Genomic DNA, 20,413 nt, shown 5'->3' on the forward strand with positions numbered 1-20,413 from the left:
TTGTTCTTCTTTTTCTACTTTAAGATGGAAGATGAGATTGTAGATTTGATATCTTAAAAAAAAAAAACAGCTTTACTGAGCTATAACTTACATACCATACAATTCACCCATTTAGAGTATACAACTCAATGATTTTTAGTTCAAAGATTTAATTCACAGATATGTGCAACCATCGCCAATTTTAGAACAGTTCATCACCTCAAAAAAGGTGATATGTCTTTTAGTTATAACCCTCCCTCTGGGCTGCTATCTCTCCTGCAGCCCAAAGCAAACACTATTCTGCCTTCTGTCTTCATCTATTTCCCTATTCTGGACTTTCTTATAAATAGAATCATGTAATACATAGACTTTTGTGTCTGGCTTCTTTCACTTAGTGTATTTTCAAGGTTTACCCAAGTTGTAGCATTTATCTGTACCTTATTTCTTTTTATGGTTTAAAAATGTTCCATTATAGTATGCATCACATTTTATTTATACATTTGTCAGCTGATAGACATTTGGGTTGTTTCTATCTTTCAGCTACTATGAATAATGCTGCTATAAAAATTCACATATGGGCCGGGCGCGGTGGCTCACGCCTGTAATCCCAGCACTTTGGGAGGCCGAGGCGGGCGGATCACGAGGTCAGGAGATCGAGACCCCGTCTCTACTAAAAATACAAAAAATTAGCCGGGCGTGGTAGCGGGCGCCTGTAGTCCCAGCTACTCGGGAGGCTGAGGCAGGAGAATGGCGTGAACCCGGGAGGCGGAGCTTGCAGTGAGCCGAGATCGCGCCACTGCACTCCAGCCTGGGCGACAGAGCGAGACTCCGTCTCAAAAAAAAAAAAAAAAAAAAAAAAAAAAAAAAAAAAAAAAAAAATTCACATACAAGAACACACAATCTTAAAATTTATATGGAACCACCAAGGACCCTGAATAGCCAAAGCACTCCTAAGCAAAAAGAACAAAGCTGGAGGCATCATACTACCTGACTTCAAGATATGCTACAAAGCTATAATAATCAAAATGGCATGGTACTGGCATAAAAACAGACACATAGACCAATGGAATAGAACAGAGAGCCCAGAAATAAATCCAAATATTTACAGCCAACTGATTTTCAACAAAAGCACCAAGAACATACATTGGGGAAAGAATAGTCTCTTTAACAAATAGTGCTGAGAAAACTAGATATCCAGATGCAGAGGAACGAAACCAAACCCCTATCTCTCACCATATACAAAAAGCAACTCAAAATGGATTAAAGACTTTAATGTAAGATCAAAACTAAGAAACTACCAGAAGATAACAGGGAAAATGCTTCAGGACCTTCATCTGGGCAAAGATTTTATGGATAAGACCTCAAAAGCACAGACAACAAAAGCAAAAACAGATAAATGAAATTCTGTCAAACTAAAAAGCTTCTGCACAGAAAAGGAAACCATCAACAGAATGAACAGACCACCTGCAGAATGGGAGAAAATATTTGCAAACTATTTATCCAACAAAGGATTAATATGCAGAATATACAAGGAATTCAAACAACTCAACATAATAATAATAATAATCTGATTTTTAAAGGAACTGAACATTTCTCAAAAGAAGACATACAAATGGTCAAGAAGTATATGAAAAAATGCTCAACATCACTTACCAGGGAAATGCAAATCAAAACCGCAGTGAGATATCATCTCACCCTAGTTAGAATGGCAATTATCAAAAAGACAAAAAATAGCAAATGTCAGAAAGGATATGGAGAAAAGGGAGTTCTTACACCCTGTTGGTGGGAACATAAATCAGTATAGCTGTGATTACGTTAGTAAGTGAAATAAACCAGGCAAAAAAGATAAGTAACACATATTGTCACTCATATGGAATCTTAATTTTTTATTTTTTTTATTTTTCCTCATTTCCAATGGGGTTGGATGGAATCTTTAAAAAGTTCATATAGAAATAAGGAGTACAGTAGTGATTACTCAAGGCTGTAAATGTGGGAAGAGAGGGGAATAAGGAGAGATTGGTTAATGAATACAAAAGTATGGCAACATAGGAGGAATAAGTTTTAGTGTCCTATAGCACTATAGGGTGACTATAGTTCACAATATTTTATTGTTTATTTTAAAATAACTAGAAGAGAGGATTTTGAATGTTTCCAACACAAAGAAATAATAAATGTTTGAGGTGATGGATATGCTAATTACCCTGATTTGATCATTGCACATATATTGTATACATGTATTGAAATCTCACACTGTACCCCATAAATATGTACAATTATTATGTGTCAACTAAAAATAATGTAAAATTTTATGTACAAGTTTTTATGTGGATATGTGTTTTCATTTCTCTTGGATGGAACTCCTGGGTCACATGGTAACTCTATGTTTAATCATCTGAGGAACTGCCAGCAGCTGCACCATTTTACATTCCCAATAGCAGTGTATAAAGGTTCTGATTTCTCCACAACCTCAGTGATACTTGTTATTATCTGGCTTTTCGATTCAAGCCATCCTACTGGGTTTAAAGTGATATCTCAGAAAGATTTTGATTTGCATTTCTCTGATAACTAATAATGCTGAGCATCTTTTCATGTGTTTATTGGACATTTGTATATCTTCTTTGGAGAGATGACTATTTAGGTCCCATTTCTTAATTGAGTTACTTGTCTTTTATTACTGAGTTGTAAGAGTTCTTTATATATTCTAGGTACAAGTCCCTTATCAGATATATGATTTGCAAATATTTTCTCCCTTTCTGTGGGCTGCCTTTCACTTCCTTGTTGGTGTCCTTTGAAGCACAAACATTTTTAATTTTGATTAAGTCCAATTTATCTGTCTTTCCCTTTGTTACTTATGCTTTTGGTATCATATCTAAGACTGCTTTGCCAAATCCAAGGTCATGAAGATTTACCTACTGGCTGTGTTTTCTTCTAAGAGTCTTATAGTTGTAGCTATTACATTTAGGTCTTTCATCTATTTTGAGTTAGTTTTTTATACAGTGTAAACTTCATTCTTTTGTTTGTAACTATCCAGGTGTCCCAGCAACATTTGTTGGAGGGACTATTCTTTCCCCAGTGGATGGTTATGGCACCCTTGTCAAAAATCAGTGGACCATAAATGTAGGACCGATGTCTGTACTGTCGGTTCTACTCCATTAATCTACATGTCTATTCTTATGCCAGTACCATGCTGTCTTGATAACCATTGCTTTGTAGTAGGTTTTGAAATTGGGAAGTGTGAGCTATTGTACTTTGTTCCTCCTTTTCATGATTGTTTTGGCTATTAATATCTCTTGACATATGTTAGAATCAGCTTGACAGTTTCTATAAAGAAGTCAACTGGGATTCTAATAGGAATTGTATCATATCTGTAGATTAATTGGAGGCATACTGTCATCTTAACAATGTTTAGTCTTCCAATCCATAAACATAGGATTTCTTCTATTTAGACCTTCTTTAATTCCTTTCAAACATATTTTCTAGTTTTCAGACTATAAGGTTTGTACTTCTTTTGTTAAATCTATTCCTATTCTTTTAATTATTTTTGATAACATCATAAATGGAATTTTTTTAATTTTATTTTTTGATTGCTCATTGCAAGTGTCTAAAACTATAATTAATCTTTGTATATTGACCTTTGTGTGTTGATCTTGTATCCTGCAATCTTGCTGAAATAGTTTGCTAGTTCTAACAGATTTTTAGTGGATTCTTTAGGATTTTCTACTAAATCTAAAGAGTTATTGATTGACTGTTTAATTGACAGAATTTGAATTTAGAATTTATATTTCTATAAATTCCCTCTAAGTACTATTTTAGCTGCATCCTATATTTTGGCAGGTTTTCATGGTCGTGTTTTCATTTTTATTCATTTCCAAGTGTGACTGAATTTCTCTTGTGATTTCTTCTTTGACTTCTCGGTTATTTTGGAGTATGTTGTTTAATTTTCACATATGTTGAATTTCCAGAAATTCCTTCTGCTACTGATTTCAAATGTCATTGAACTGTGGTTGGATAACATATTTTGTAATAATTTCAATCCCTTTAAACTTACTGAGGCTTCTTTTGTAGCCTAATATATGGTCTACCTGGGAGGATATTCATTCTATGGGTACATGAGAATATTGTGCATTCTGCTGTTGGAGTGTCCTATGGTTATCTATTAGGCATCATTGCTTTATAGTGTTAAGTCTTCTATTTCCTTGTTTACTTTTTTGCCTAGTTGTTCTCTCCCCTTCTGAAAGTGGAGTCCCAACTATTGTTTTTTAATTTTCTATTTTTTTTATTCAACTCTGAGTTTTTAGTTTGCGTAATGTGGGACTCTGTTGTTAGGTGCATATATGTTTATAAATTTGTCTTCCTGATGGATTGACCTTTTAAGCATGACAAAATGTCTTTCTTTGTCTCTAGTGACATTTTTTGTCTTAAAATCTATTTGTCTCATATTGGTATAGCTACTCCATCTCTTTGGTTACTATTTGCATGGCATATCTTTATCCAACCTTTACTTTCAATTTACTTGTGTCTTTGAATCTAAAGTGAGTCTTTTGTAGATGGCATACAGTTGGATCTTTTTTTTATTCATGCTGCCAATCTCTGCTTTCAAACAGAGAGCATAACCCATTTATATTTAATTTAATTACTGATAAGGTAGGATATATGTCTGCCATTTTGCTATCTGTTTTCTACCTGTCTTTTTTGTTCCTCAAGTCCCCCAATATTGCCTTCTTTGGTGTTAAATACATATTTTTTCATGTACCATTTTAATTCCCTTGTCAATTCTTTTATTATATATTTTTGAGTTATTTTCTTATTGGCTGCCCTGGGAGTTACCATTAACATCTCAGTTTATAACGATCTAGTTCTGATTAATATCAACTTAATTTCAATTATATATATATATTAAAAAAATTGTTTTTTGAGATGGAGTCTTGCTTTGTCACCCAGGCTGGAGTGCAGTGGTGCAATCTCGGCTCACTACAACCTCTGCCTCCCAGGCTCAAGCAATTCTCCTGCCTCAGCCTCCCAAGTAGCTGGGACTACAGGGAAGTGCCATCACACCCAGCTTATTTTTGTATTTTTAGTAGAGGCGGGTTTTCACCATGTTGGTCAGGCTGGTCTCAAACTCCTGACCTCAAATGATCCACAGACCTTGGCCTCCCAAAGTGCTGGAATTACAGGCATGAGCCACCGTGCCCAGCCCAATGGTATATTTTTTTAAATGCTCTAAATAGTTCAACTCCTCTATGCTATTATTATTATGTGCTCATCAATACAGATTTATAGTTATTGCCCCATGCAATTGCCTTCTAAGTCAGATATGAGAAAAAAAGATAAATAATAAACAACAAATACATTTATATGCCTTTAATATTTACCTACATGATTACTTTACTTGTGTTATTTCTCCATATAGGTTTGAGTTACTGTATAGAGTTCTTTCGATTCAACCTAAAGGACTCTTTCTTAGTTCCAGCTGCTATAACAAAAATACCATAGCCTAGGTAGCTTAAACAACAAACGTGTTTTTCTCACAGTTCTGGGAGCTGGGAAGACCAAAGCACCAGCAGATCCAGTGTCTGGCAAGGGGCTCTTCCTGGTTTGTAGACCACCACCTACTCATTGTACCCTAACACAGTGGAGAGGGAAGAAGTAAATTATCTTATGTCTCTTCTTATAAGAGCATTTTAATCTCAGCATGAGGGCACCAACCTCATGACCTGCTCACCTCCCAAAGGCCTATCTCCAAATACCATAATATTGGGGAATAAGGTTTCAACATATGAATTTTGTGGGGACACAGATATTCAATCCATAGCATTTTACTCCAGGCCCCTCAAAATTCATGTCCTTCTCATATGCCAAATACATTCATTCTATTTCAACAGCCCCCAAAATCGTAACTCATTCCAGCATCAACTCTAAAGTCTAAGGTCCAATGTCTCACTTAAATATTTAAATCAGGCCAGGTGCAGTGGCTTATGCCTGTAATCTCAGCACTTTGGGAGACTGAGGCAGGAGGATCCCTTGAGCCCAGGAGTTTGAGACCAGCCTGGGCAACACAGCAAAACCCCATCTCTACAAAAAATACAAAAATTAGCCATGCGTAGTGACACATGCCTATAGTCCCAGCTATTCAGGAGGCTGAGACAGGAGGATCGATTGAGCCCAGGAAGTCAAGGCTCCAGTAAGCCGTGATCATGCAACTGCACTCCAGCCTGGGTGACAGAGTGAGACTGTCTCAAAAAAAAAAAAAAAAAAAAAAAAAAATTTAAATCAGATGTGGGTGAGACAAGTGACAAGTCTTCCTGATGCAAAATTCCTCTCCAGCTATGAACCTGTAAAACTAAAAAAGTTATGCACTTCAAAAATACAATGGTAGGACAGGCATAGGAAAGACATTCCCATACCAAAAGGGAAAAATAGGATATAAGAAAGAGTAATGGATCCCAAGTAAGTTCAAAACTTAGTAAAGCACACTCATTTTTTGTTGAAAACTGGACATTTAAAATAATATAATGTTGGCCAGGCACAGTGGCTCATGCCTGTAATCCCAGCACTTTGGGAGGCCAAGGGGGGCAGATCACCTGAGGTCAGGAGTTCAAGACCAGCCTGGCCAACATGGTGAAACCCCATCTCTACAAAAATACAAAAACTAGCTGGGCATAATGGCGGGTGCCTGTGATCCCAGCTACTCAGGAGGCTGAGGCAGAAGAATCGCTTGAACCCGGGAGATGGAGGTTGCAGTGAGCCAAGATCGCGCCATTGCACTCCAGCCTGGGCAACAGAGTGAGACTATATTTCAAAAAAAAAACACATTAAAAATAAAAAAATATAATAATATAATGTTACAACTCTTACAATCAGATCCCTCCCTCCTCATCTACAGGAATTGTTGTTGTTTGTTTTAGTGACTATTCAGAACTAATTCTGTAAAGTCTGTATTCATTGCCATGTTCCTGTCTCTACTTGGTTAACTTTTGACAAGCTAATGATTAAACAGAGATTTCCTTACATCTGGAACCAATACATCTCCCAGAGTTTTCTGAGTGACTTTGTATGGGTACTAGTGCACACCTTTAAAACTAGAAAATCTTACAACTCCACCTTAGCCTTCACTTCCTGCTTGTACAGAATCTCAAGATAAACCAGAGTTGAGAGCTTAGCTTAGAGTCTTCTCAATTCTTTTCTAAGCGTGCTTACAGCCCTTTCATGTAAATGACCTTCCAGATACCAGGAATATATTAAAGCTTTGCAAAGCCCCTATGCATATTTCATTCTCCAGTTAGTCCTTTTAAGCTTTTTGTTAGTCTATTTTGCCCCAGTTATTGTCCATCACCTCAGGCAACTTTGTAGGCAAAGTTAAAACACTTGCCTACAATTGTCTTTTACAATGCCCCCTAGGACAGAAAGGGACTTAACACTGAGTGAGTTCTCAGTCAGCCTTATAGGTGGGGTCTTCTAGGGAACCATCAGACAAGTTGGATGACAATTCTTAGAGCACAAGGCTTGGAAAGAGTTATAGACCCACTCTGGTGGCTGCCCCCAAAAATATGGGTTGTTACTTTTTAAGGCTATTGCATAGCTGGAAAGTAGAAGGTGGGACTAGGGTTAGTTCAACCACTGTGGAAGACAGTGTGGCAATTCCTCAAGGATCTAGAACTGGAAATACCATTTGACCCAGCAATCCCATTACTGGGTATATACCCAAAGGATTATAAATCATGCTGCTATAAAGACACATGCACATGTATGTTTATTGTGGCATTATTCACAATAGCAAAGACTTGGAACCAACCCAAATGGATTAAGAAAATGTGGCACATAAACACCACGGAATACTATGCAGCCATAAAAAATGATGAGTTCATGTCCTTTGTAGGGACAGGGATGAAGTTGGAAACCATCATTCTGAGCAAACTATTGCAAGGACAGAAAAACAAACACCGCATGTTCTCACTCATAGGTGGGAATTGAACAATGAGAACACTTGGACACAGGGTAGGGAACATCACACACCAGAGCCTGTTGTGGGGTGGAGGAAGTGGGGAGGGATAGCATTAGGAGATATACCTAATGTAAATGATGAGTTAATGGGTGCAGCACACCAACATAGCACATGTATACATATGTAACAAACCTGCACGTTGTGCACATGTGCCCTAGAACTTAAAGTATAATAAAAAAAAATGCCACAGACTTCACTGTTCTTACTGAGATGCAGCCATTTTTCTTAAATAAATGTTCCCTGGTTTGCTACAAGCTGTTAGTTAATTTCTGGAGTTCTGAAAATGTTAATTCTGAATAATTTTGCCAGTTTTTTCATTTCTCTTATGGAAGGGAAAATTTTGAGAGGTCCTTACTCAGCCATTTTTGCTGACATTCTCCCACAATGTTTTTTAAGACAAAAATAATCCAAATCGTGGCTAAGTACAAAAGCACTAGTAGCTAGATATCAGCATCATGGAAATGGAGGGCTACAGGTTGCGAAATAATGAAGACATAACAAAGAGCCCATGTCTTCTGTGAAATTGCCCCATAAGGCCCATTCAGAATATCCATGAATTTCCAATACCTCTTCATCCTCTTTTAATTAAACCTACTATTCCTTAAAAACCAGCACCCCAAGATAAATGAGAATAAGCTAATTCAGTCTTATTGATTCCCTGTTTTGTTTAATTACTAGAGTTCTGATTTGTTTAATTGCTAGAGATTGCTTTCTACTATTTTTACTGCAAATGTGCCTTGACTTAGCTACAATATTGCTGCAGAGAAATGTGCTCTACATTCCAAACAATCAACTTTACAAACTTTTGAAACCAAATAAATTTGATAACAAAGAATCAGCTGTATGCAATTAATGACAGAAGCCAATAATGTAAAAATTAGGTGATGTAGGCTTGTAGATTACCAGAGACCTCAGATGGAAGTAAGACTTAAGCTAGATGTTGAAAGATGGAGAAAGAATTAGGAGAACATGGGAAAGATTGTATAACCACAAGCTTCCAGTCTGTCACTGGCATAATATAATCTCAGGTAAGTGAGTAAACTAAATTGGCTATGGTAGTGATTAACATGGGGAGGAGAAGAAGGTTAAAGTAAGGAAAACACTGGAGTTGGAGAATGCAATAGAAAACCTTAAACAACATGTAGAGAATTTGGGTTTTGTTTGTTTGTTTGTTTGTTTGTTTGTTTTTGAGATAGGGTCTCATTATGTTGCCCAGGCTGATCTTGAACTCCTGGGCTCAAGTGATCCTCCCACCTCAGCCTCCCAAAGTGCTGGGATTATAGGCATGAGCCACCATGCCCAGCCATGTAGAGAATTTTTGACTCAACTTGTAGAACAATGGTTTACAATTGCTTTCTCTCCTCCAATACACCTGAGAGATGCAATCATTTCCAGTAATAGCAGTGGCTCACTATTCAAAAGGTCCTCAACTATGAGGAAGAGATAGTAAGAATGTTATTGAAATAACTGAGAGGAAGAGATTTCAAAAAGCCCCACTCAGGATTCTGATATGCCTCCCTTCACCATCCTACCCCTCCACACCTCCCTGGGAATGAAAAGCCACGGGAGACCTTAGAAGACAGTGCCCTTTTGAAAGTGTTACGACTGTATTTCATGGTTTAATGACCTAATTTCCTAAACATTAGGCAAATCTGTTTCAACACTTTCCAAAATGTAATTCATAGTATACTCATCTCGTAAGATACCATCTATTAAAAATTAAGCCAGACATGACGACATGCACCTATAGTCCAAACTACTCAAAAAACTAAGGTGGGAGAATTGCTTGAGCACTGGAGTTCAGGTGTGGGCAAGATAGTGAGACCTTGTCTCTAAAATAAAATAAAATAAAATAAATTCAGTCCACATAAGCTGGGAAAGCCCACATAGCATAGCCCCTTCTATCAGAATTTCACCAACTATATTAACATGCCTAATGAAGGACCTAAGGACTCCCACAGTAAAGAAAACTGTTTAATTTTTTCAATCCACACACACATTTGATGACAAATCTTATTCTTACAGAATACCTATTAACACTCTAGTATTGCACAGGAAAAGCTGAGAAACTCCAGTCTACATTGGCTTCTTTGTGACCGGGGACATGTCACATGTGGTTCTGTGCTTGCCTCAGATCTGCTTATGCAAGACAATATAACAGGAAGTGGTATTCCTTCCTCTCTCCAGAAACCCCACTCCCTACAGCACTCCCCTGGCCAGGCTTCATTTGCCTCTTTAAATCCTAGTGCAGAGATGAGCTAAGCCCAGTCCTCTCTCCCATCCTTCAGGTCCCCACTTGGCTTTATTCAGTACAGATGTGTGATCAAGGCTCCTGGGTTCCTCAGTGTTTTTCTGGGAATCTCACCAATACTTACCCGCTGCATCTGAGCTAAGTAACTGAGCTGGCCCAAAAAGAAACCAGCGTGGAGAACATGATGGCACTTGTGGGTCTTCTTGTGTAATTAACTAAAGGACAGGAATGGGCTGTGGAAAGCTGCAGTGCAGGGGACAAAAGATAAGAACAAGCCTGTCTGAGCCTGAATGAGTTACAAAAGAGAGCAAGGCAGACAAGAATGAAGATGAGAAATGACCTTCTTCCCAGCTCTCATTTCCTTCCTCTGTAAAATCCCTGAGTGTCCTCTTCAATTCTTCCCTAGCACAACTGTAGGCTGCTTTCTCCCTCAACGCTGTGCTCTGTGCTCCCTCTGCTGGCTCTCACATGCCAGCTACATTTAAAACAACCACAGGATAGTACAATGCCCACATTTGGGTGGCCTTCAGCAATGTTTCCCACTTGTACATGCTGTCTTAAATTTGGCTATACTTCTTAGCAAAAAATGAAAATTCAACCTCTTTTGTATTATAAAAAAAAAGTGGAGACAGGAAGGGAATGATTAAATAAATTATTGTACTTCATACTATGAAATGCAGCCACTTAATTTGTGTCCACAACTGTGTGAGGTACTGAGGATAAAAAGATTTGGTAATACATGGTCCCCGCTCTCAGGAAATTTACAAGCTAGTGAGGGGAGACTGACATATAACACACTTTTCAAAACGAAGAATTTTAGAAAATTCCTATAACATATGCCTTAAATGATGACTCAAACATGTCCTCTAAACGTATAAAGAGGTACCTCACACAGTCCAGGCTGGACTTTCTTAAATATTCATCTTGGGCTCGGTGCAGTGGCTCACGCCTATAATCCCAGCACTCGAGGCTGAGGCAGTTCGAGCTTGAGCTGAGGAGTTCGAGACCAGTCTGGGCAACATGGTGAAACCCCGTCTCTACAAAAAAAAAAAATACCCCAAAAATTGGCCAGGCATGGTGGCACATGCCTGTAGTCCCAGCTACTCAGGAGGCTGAGGCAGGAGAATCGCTTGAACCAGGGAGGCAGAGGTTGCAGTGAGCTGAGATCGCACCACTGCACTCCAGCCTGGGTGACAGACACCTCATCGAAAGAAAGAGAGACACAGAGAGAGAGAGAACTAATGGCTTTGTGTGAATGTTTTCACCATGATTTAGGCAAAGAACAGAAGCCCATCATGTTGAGTTTCACAATTGGTAGCTGGTGCAGAAGGTTCAGGTAGCAAATGACTGTTTTTGGATTTGGGATATATGGTATTTCTGAAGGTCAAAGGAAATATTTGATACAACCACTCTGTAATCACAGGTTTGTAGTGTTCCTGACCAGCCCATCTCACACGCACCCTTCCCCACACACACACCCAACACTTCAAATAACTCTTTTTATAGATTTTTTATTATTTATATTAATATACCTTCCATAAAGTTTTGTAAATATAGACCCAGGTGTGGGTCGGGTGCCGTGGCTCATGCTTGTAATCCCAGCCCTCTGGGAGGCTGAGGCAGGAGGACTGCTTGAGCCCAGGAGTTCAAGGCCAGCCTGGGCAACAGGATGAAATCCTATCTCTACAAAAAGAATACAAAAATTAGCCAGACATGATGGTGCACGCCTGTAATCCCAGCACTTTGGGAGGCCGAGGCGGGCGCATTACTTGAGGTCAGGAGTTTGAGACAAGCCTGACCAACATGGCGAAACCCCGTCTCTACTAAAAATACAAAGAATTATCCTGGTGGGATGGTGCATGCCTGTAATCCCAGCTACTTGGGAGACTGAGGTGAGAGGATCGCTTGAGCCCAAGAGGAGAAGTTGCAGTGAGCCGAGATCGTGCCACTGCACTCCAGCCTGGGCGATAGAGTGAGACTTGGTCTCAAAAAAAAAAAAAAAAGAAAAGGAAGAAATTAAAAAAAAAATGTAATGTGCATCTTAATGGATAGATTTGGTTACATGAAAATATGAAACCATCATGATCATAACTGCCATCTGTTACGGCTACCCCCATTATGGACACCTACTAAGGGCCAGTCACTATATGCTTTATGCTTTATATGCCTTAGCTCATTTTATGAATTAGGCACAGAGATGAGCCTAAGGAACAAAGTGTAGTTCAGAGATGCAAAGTAAGGATTCAAATCCAGGTATGCTTGATGCCAAAGTCCCTTCAGTGTCTTCTTACTACGCTACCTTGAATCATTATCCAGTTTCCACAAATACTGTTACCTGAGGTTTCCTCCACTGGTTGCTAAGCATAGTGGAAAAGACTAATATGACAGTCAGCAATAGTATCCTATGTCATGTTCATGCTGAGCAAAGCTCTTTGAGCTCTATGGGAAGCCGCTGGCCTTAAGGAAATTAAAATATAATGGAGCACGGACTATATGCAAATAATTAAATATAGCTAATAGATTTTCTACATGCCAAAATTAGCCAGTTTGAAAACCTTATGGAGAACAAATTCCATTAACAAGAACAGCCAAAATATCCCAGAATAAATGTAACAAAAATTTGTCAAGCCTTTATGAAAAAGATCATAGGAAGTCAGTAGAATAAACAGAAAGACAACTCATGTTTCTAGATGGGAAGACTCAATGACTGAATATTGTAAATATATTAATTATCTCCAAATTGTTAAATGTAAAGTCATTTAAGCTACAATTACCGAATCATTGTGATATTAGCACAGAAATGAGCACAGAAATCAACCCTAAAGTCCAATGAACAATATATATATATAGAACAATATACAATATATATAAAGTCATATATATATATAAAGTCATATATATATATGGGACTTTAACCTACGGTAAAAGTGGCATTTCAAATTACTGTGGAAGCCAGATGCAGTGGTTCATGCCTATAATTTCAGCTAGTTGGGAGGCTGAGATGGAAGGATGGAGCCAGGAGTTCGAGGCTGTAGTGAGTGATGATAACCCCACTGCACTGCAGCCTGGGTGATAAGAGTGAGACCCCATCCCTCAAAAAAAAAAAATGAGTGGGGAAAGGATATTCAGTAAGTCTTATAAAATAGTTGGCAGTAGGATTCTGTGGCAAGATGGCCAAATAGGAACAGCTCCGGTCTGCAGCTCCCAGTGAGATCAACACAGAAGGCAGGTGATTTCTGCATTTCCAACTGAGGTACCTGGTTCATCTCATTGGGACTGGTTGGACAGTGGGTGCAGCCCACAGAGGGTGAGCCAAAGCACAGTGGGGCATCGCCTCACCCGGGAAGTGCAAGGGATCGGGGAATTTTCTCCCCCACCTAAAGGAAGCCGTGAGGGACTGAGCCTGAGGAACGCCGGCACAGATACTATGCTTGTCCCACTGTTTTCACAACCTGCAAACCAGGAGATTCCCTCCGGTGCCCACCCCACGAGGGCCCTGGGTTTCAAGCACAAAACTGGGTGGCCATTTGGGCAGACACCGAACTAGCTACAGGAGTTCTTTTTTTCCATACCCCAGTGTTACCTGGAATGCTAGAAAGACAGAACCGCTGACTCCACTGGAAAGGGGTGCTGAAGCCAGGGAGCCAAGTGATCTGGCTAAACAGGCCCCACTCCCACGGAGCCCAGCAAACTAAGATCCACGGGCTTGAAATTCTCGCCGCTAGCACAGCAGCAGTCTGAGATCAACCTGGGATGTTCCAGCTTGGTGAGGGGAGGGGTGCCTGCCATTGCTGAGGCTTGAGTAGGTGGTTTTACACTCACAGTGTAAACAAAGCTGCTGGGAAGTTCAAACTGGGTGGAGCCCACAGCAGCTCAGCAAGGCTGCTGTGGCCAGACTGCCAGATTTCCCTTCTCTGAGCAGGGCATCTCTGAAAAAAAGGCAGCAGACCCAGTCAGGGACTTATAGATAAAACCCCCATCTCCCTGGGGACAGAGCACCTGGGGAAAGGGGCAGCTGTGGGCAAAGCTTCAGCAGACTTAAACGTCCCTGCCTGATGGCTCTGAAGAGAGCAGCGGACCTCTCAGCAGAGCGTTCAAGCTCTGCTAAGGGTCAGACTGCCTCCTCAAGTACGTCCCTGACCCCCATGTATCCTGACTGGGGGACACCTCCCAGTAGGGGCCGACAGACACCTCACACAGGAGAGCACTGGCTGGCATCTGACAGGTGCCCCTCTGGAACAAAGCTTCCAGAGGAAAGATCATGCGGCAAAATTTGCTGTTCTGCAGCCTCCGCTGTTGATACCCAGGCAAACAGGTTTGGGAGTGGACCTCCAGCAAACTCCAGCAGATGGGCAGCAGGGGGCCTGTCAGAAGGAAAACTAACAAACAGAAAGAAATAGCATGTCCACTCAAAGACTCCATCCAAAGGTCACCAACATCAAAGACCAAAGGTAGATAAATCCACAAAGATGGGCAGAAACCAGTGCAAAAGGCTGAAAATTCCAAAAACCAGAACGCCTCTTCTCCTCCAAAGGATCACATCTCCTCGCCAGCAAGGGAACAAAACTGGACAGAGAATGAGTTTGACAAATTGACAGAAGTAGTTTTCAGAAGGTGGGTAATAACAAACTCCTCTGAGCTGAAGGAGCATGTTCTAACCCAATGCAAGGAAGCTAAGAACCTTGAAAAAAGGTTAGACAAATGGCTAACTAGAATAACCAGTGTAGAGAAGAACACAAATGACCTGAGGGAGCTAAAAAACACAGCACGACAACTTCGTGAAACATACACACGTTTCAATAGCTGAATCAATCAAACAAAAGAAAGGATATCAGAGATTGAAGATCAACTTAATGAAATAAAGAGAGAAGACAAGATTCGAGAAAAAAGAATAAAAAGGAACGAACACAGCCTCCAAGAAATATAAGACTACGTGAAAACATCAAATCTATGTTTGACTGGTGTACCTGAAGGTGACGAGGAGAATGGAACCAAGTTGGAAAACACTCTGCAGGATATTATCCAGGAGAACTTCCCCAACCTAGCAAGACAAGCCAACATTCAAATTCAGGAAATACAGAGAACACCACTAAAATACTCCTTGAGAAGAGCAACCCCAAGACACATAATTGCCTGATTCACCAAGGTTGAAATGAAGGAAAAAATGGTAAGGGCAGCCAGAGAGAAAGGTAGAGTTACCCACACAGGGAAGCTCATCAGACTAATAGCAGATCTCTGCAGAAACCCTACAAGCCAGAATAGAGTGGGGGCCAATATTCAACATTCTTAAAGGAAAAAATTTTCAACCCAGAATTTCATATTCAGCCAAACTAAGCTTCATAAGCGAAGGAGAAATAAAATCCTTTACAGACAAGCAAATGCTGAGAGATTTTGTCACCACCAGGCCTGCCTTACAAGAGCTCCTGAAGGAAGCACTAAACATGGAAAGGAACAACTGGTAGCAACCACTGCAAAAACATATCAAATTGTAAAGAACATCGACACTATGAAGAAACTGCATCAATTAATGGGCAAAACAACCAGTTAGCATCATAATGACAGGATCAAATTCACACATAACAATATTAACCTTAAGTGTAAACAGGCTAAATGTCCCAATTAAAAGACACAGACTGGCAAGTTGGATAAAGAGTCAAGACCCATCAGTGTGCTATATTCAGAAGACCCAGCTCACATGCAAAGACACACATAGGCTCAAAATAAAGGGATGGAGGAATATTTACCAAGCAAATGGAAAGCAAAAAAAAAAGCAAGGGTTGCAATCCCAGTCTCTGATAAAACAGACTTTAAACCAACAAAGATCAAAGAGACAAAGAAGGGCATTACATAATGGTAAAGGAATCAATGCAGCAAGAATAGCTAACTATCCTAAATATATATGCACCCAGTACAAGAGCACCCAGATTCATAAAGCAAGTTCTTAGAGACCTACAAAGAGACTTAGACTCCCACACAATAATAATGGGAGACGTTAACATCCCACTGTCAACATTAGACAGATCAACAAGACAGAAAATTAACAAGGGTATTCAGGACTTGAACTCAGCTCTGGACCAAGTGGACCTAATAGACATCTACAGAACTCTCCACCCCAAATCAGCAGAATATGCATTCTTCTCAGCACTACATCGCACTTATTCTAAAGTTGACCACATAATTGGAAGTAAAACACTCCTCAGCAAATGCAAAAGAACAGAAATCACAACAAACAGTCTCTCAGACCACAGTGCAATCAAACCAGAACTCAGGATTAAGAAACACTCAAAACCACACAACTACATGGAAACTGAACAACCTACTCCTGAATGACTACTGTGTAAAAAGAAATGAAGGCAGAAATAAAGATGTTCTTCGAAACCAATGAGAACGAAGACACAACGTACCAGAATCTCTGGGACACATTTAAAGCAGTGTGTAGAGGGAAATTTATAGCACTAAATACCCACAAGAGAAAGCAAGAAAGATCTAAAATTGACGCCCTAACATCACAATTAAAAGAACTAGGGAAGCAAGAAAACCACAGGGCATGGGGCCAGGGTGGCAGCCCCCAGGGAGCCGGCAGGATGGCAGAGGGCAAGGCGGGCAGCACAGCCGGCCTCTTCACCAAGCAGGTGCAGAAGTTCAGCAGGGCCCAGGAGAAGGTGCTGCAGAAATCGGGGAAAACTGTAGAAACCAAAGATGAACAATTTGAACAAAGTGCTAACAACTTCTACCAACAACAGGCAGAAGGCCACAACTATACAAGGACCTGAAGAACTTCCTTAGTGCAGTCAAAGTGATGCATGAAAGCTCAAAAAGAGTGTAAGAAACCCTGCAGGAGATCTACAGCAGTGAGTGGGATGGTCATGAGGAGCTGAAGGCCATCATAGAGAATAATGATCTCCTTTGGGAAGACTAGAGGAGAAACTTGCTGATCGGGCTGTGAGGACCATGGAAAAGTACATTACCCAGTTCAGCAAAAGTAAGGAGAGAATTGCCAAGCGGGGTGGAAACTCGTGGACTGTGACAGTGCCCGACATCACCTGGAGGCAGTGCAGAATGCCAAGAAAGATGAGGCCAAGACTGCCAAGGCAGAGGAATAGTTCAACAAAGCCCAGACTGTGTGTGAAGATCTGAACCAACATATGCAAATCAACAAACTACTAGAGGAGTTGTCTATTCTTTATAATAGTCATACTGGCTCTATGTGACCATCTTCCAAAACATTTCCAACTTGAGGGATGTCTTCTACAGGGAAATGAGCAAACTGAACCACAATCTCTCCGAGGTGATGAGCAAACTGGAGAAGCAACATTCCAGTAAAGTCTTTGTGGTGAAGAGACTATCAAGCAGCAGCAGGCGCTCTTTAGTCATTTCTCCCCCAGTTCGAACATCTACAGTCTCCAGTCCACTTACCTCACCTACTAGTCCCTCTACACTTTCCTCGAAGAGTAAGAGTGAATCTGTCTCAGCAACTGAAGATCTGGCACCTGATGCAGCCCAGGGGGAAGACAATTCTGAGATCAAGGAGCTCTTAGAAGATGAGGAAATAGGGAAGGAAGGATCTGAAGCAAGCTCCTCTGAGGAAGAAGAGCCTCTACTAACCTGCAACGGCCCCTCCCAGGCCCAGCCCTCTCCTATCATTGAGAGTGCCAGGTCCCAGGAAGAAGTTCCCCCCAGCTCCCCTGCTCTATCACCAGGTGGAGCCCTAAGCCCTTCAGGACACCCTTTATCATCTGCCGCAGAAGTAGTCCTCCGAACCCGCACCGCAGGTGACAAATCTGAACAATCAAAGAAGAGAGCCTCTATCCAGAGGACCTCAGCACCCCCTAGTAGGCCTCCTCCACCCAGAGCCACTGCAAGCCCCAGGCCCTCCTCAGGGAACATACCCTCCAGCCCTCCAGCCTCTGGAGGGGGTTCACCCACCAGCCCTAGGGCCTCCTTGGGGACTGGGACTCCAAGTCCTAGGACCTCCCTAGAGGTCTCTCCTAATCCAGAACCACCAGAGAAGCCAGTAAGAACTCCTGAGGCCAAAGAAAATGAAAACATCCACAATCAGAACCTCGAAGAACTTTGTACTTCCCCCACCTTAATGACATCTCACATTGCTTCAGAGCCTGGAGAGGCAAAGAAGATGGAAGACAAGGAAAATGATAACAAGCTTGTCTCAGCTGACTCCTCGGAGGGCCAAGACCAGCTTAAAGTCTCCACAGTACCAGACAAGAGCAACCTCACAGCACCTGAACCTCAAGAAGAGGTATCTACAAGTGAAAATGCACAACTCTGAAGAGAAACTGCCAAGATTCCCCAAGCCCCACACCTCCCCAGAGAAGCTCTTCAACCAGAGGGTATAGGTCAGAGGGATATAATAGACAGCATCCATCCCTGGGTTCTCAGTAAGAATGATGGTGCTGTCTAAAGACCTGGCATTAATGGAGGTGGAGGAGCAGCCTTAAGGGAGGGATGGAGGGAGGCAGGCTGGGGAGGAGAAGAGAACATTAGACTCAGGGAATATTTAATTCAGGTTTTAGCATTATTAGAATAAGACTTTATACATTAAGGTGGAGCTATAATCACTATAAAAAGCAAAAGTATCTATAGACACAGACACTTGTCTACACAGAGACATAACCACACATACTCAGAGGACAGTGAATAAATCTGTCTTTGACTTATGACCCATTTTGCAAGACTTAAAGCCAGAAGAACACATTTTCAGATTGTTAAATAAAGTCTGATTCTGACAAAAAAAAAAGAACTAGAAAAGCAACAGCAAACAAATTCAAAATCTAGCAGAAGACAAGAAATAACTAAGATCAGAACAGAACTGAAGGAGATAGAGATAGGAAAAACCCATCAAAAAATCAATGAATCCAGGACCTGGTTTTTTGAAAAGATCAACAAAATAGATAGACTGCTAGCCAGACTAACAAAGAAGAAAAGAGAAGAATCAAATAGATGCAATAAAAAATGATATAGGGTATATTACCACTGATCCCACAGAAATACAAACTACCATCAGAGAATACTATAAACACCTCTATGCAAATAAACTAGAAAATCTAGAAGAAATTGATAAATTCCTGGACACATACACCCTCCCAAGTCTAATCCAGGAAGCAGTCAAATCCCTGAATAAACCAATAACAAGTTCTGAAATTGAGGCAGTAATTAGTAGCTAACCAACCAAAAAAAGTCCATGAACAGATGGATTCATAGCCAAATTCTACCAGAGGTACAAAGAGGAGCTCGCACCATTCCTTCTGAAACTATTTCAAACAATTAAAAAAGAGGGAAACCTCCCTAACTCATTTTATGAGGCTAGCATCATCCTGATACCAAAACCTGGCAGAGACACAACAAAAAAAGAAAATTTCAGGCCAATATCCCTGATGAACATCGATGCGAAAATTCTCAGTAAAATACTGGCAAACCGAATCCAGCAGCACATCAAAAAGCTTATCCACCATGATCAAGTCAGCTTCATCCCTGGGATGCAAGGCTGGTTCAACATATGCAAATCAATAAACATAATCCATCACATAAACAGAACCAATCACAAAAACCACAGAATATCTCAATAGATGCAGAAAAGGCCTTCGACAAGATTCAACACTGCTTCATGCTAAAACCCTCAATAAACTGGGTATCAATGGAACGTATCTCAAAATAATAAGAGCTATTTATGACAAACCCACAGCCAATATCACTGAAAGGGCAAAAACTGGAAGCATTCCTTTTGAAAACCGGCACAAGACAAGGATGCCCGCTCTCGCCACTCCTATTCAACACAGTATTGGAAGTTCTGGCCAAGGCAATCAGGCAAGAGAAAGAAATAAAGGGTATTCAAATAGGAAGAGAGGAAGTCAAATTGTCTCTGCAGATGACATGATTGTATATTTAGAAAACCCCATCGTCTCGGCCCAAAATTTCCTTAAGCAACTTCAGCAAAGTCTCAGGATACAAAATCAATGTGCAAAAATCACAAGCATTCCTATACACCAATAATAGACAGACAGCCAAATCATGAGTGAACTCCCATTCATAGTTGCTACAAAGAGAATAAAATACCTAGGATATGAAGGACCTCTTCAAGGAGAACTACAAACCACTGCTCAAGGAAATCAGAGAGGACACAAACAAATGGAAAAACATTCCATGCTCATGAATAGGAAGAATCA

The 20,413-nt window shown here is 40.6% G+C and overlaps 1 long non-coding RNA gene and 1 pseudogene across 2 annotated transcripts in view; one reads left to right on the forward strand and one right to left on the reverse strand.

Moving 5' to 3' along the window:
- LOC105377308 (uncharacterized) overlaps positions 1 to 20,413 on the reverse strand; it is a 42,328-nt gene that overhangs the window by 15,131 nt on the left and 6,784 nt on the right. The gene's annotated exons all lie outside the window — the stretch shown is intronic.
- Positions 16,765 to 18,716, forward strand: BIN2P1 (bridging integrator 2 pseudogene 1; annotated as a pseudogene).

Source organism: Homo sapiens, chromosome 4, assembly GCF_000001405.40.
Source record: "Homo sapiens chromosome 4, GRCh38.p14 Primary Assembly".
NCBI classification, from domain to species: Eukaryota; Metazoa; Chordata; class Mammalia; order Primates; family Hominidae; genus Homo; species Homo sapiens.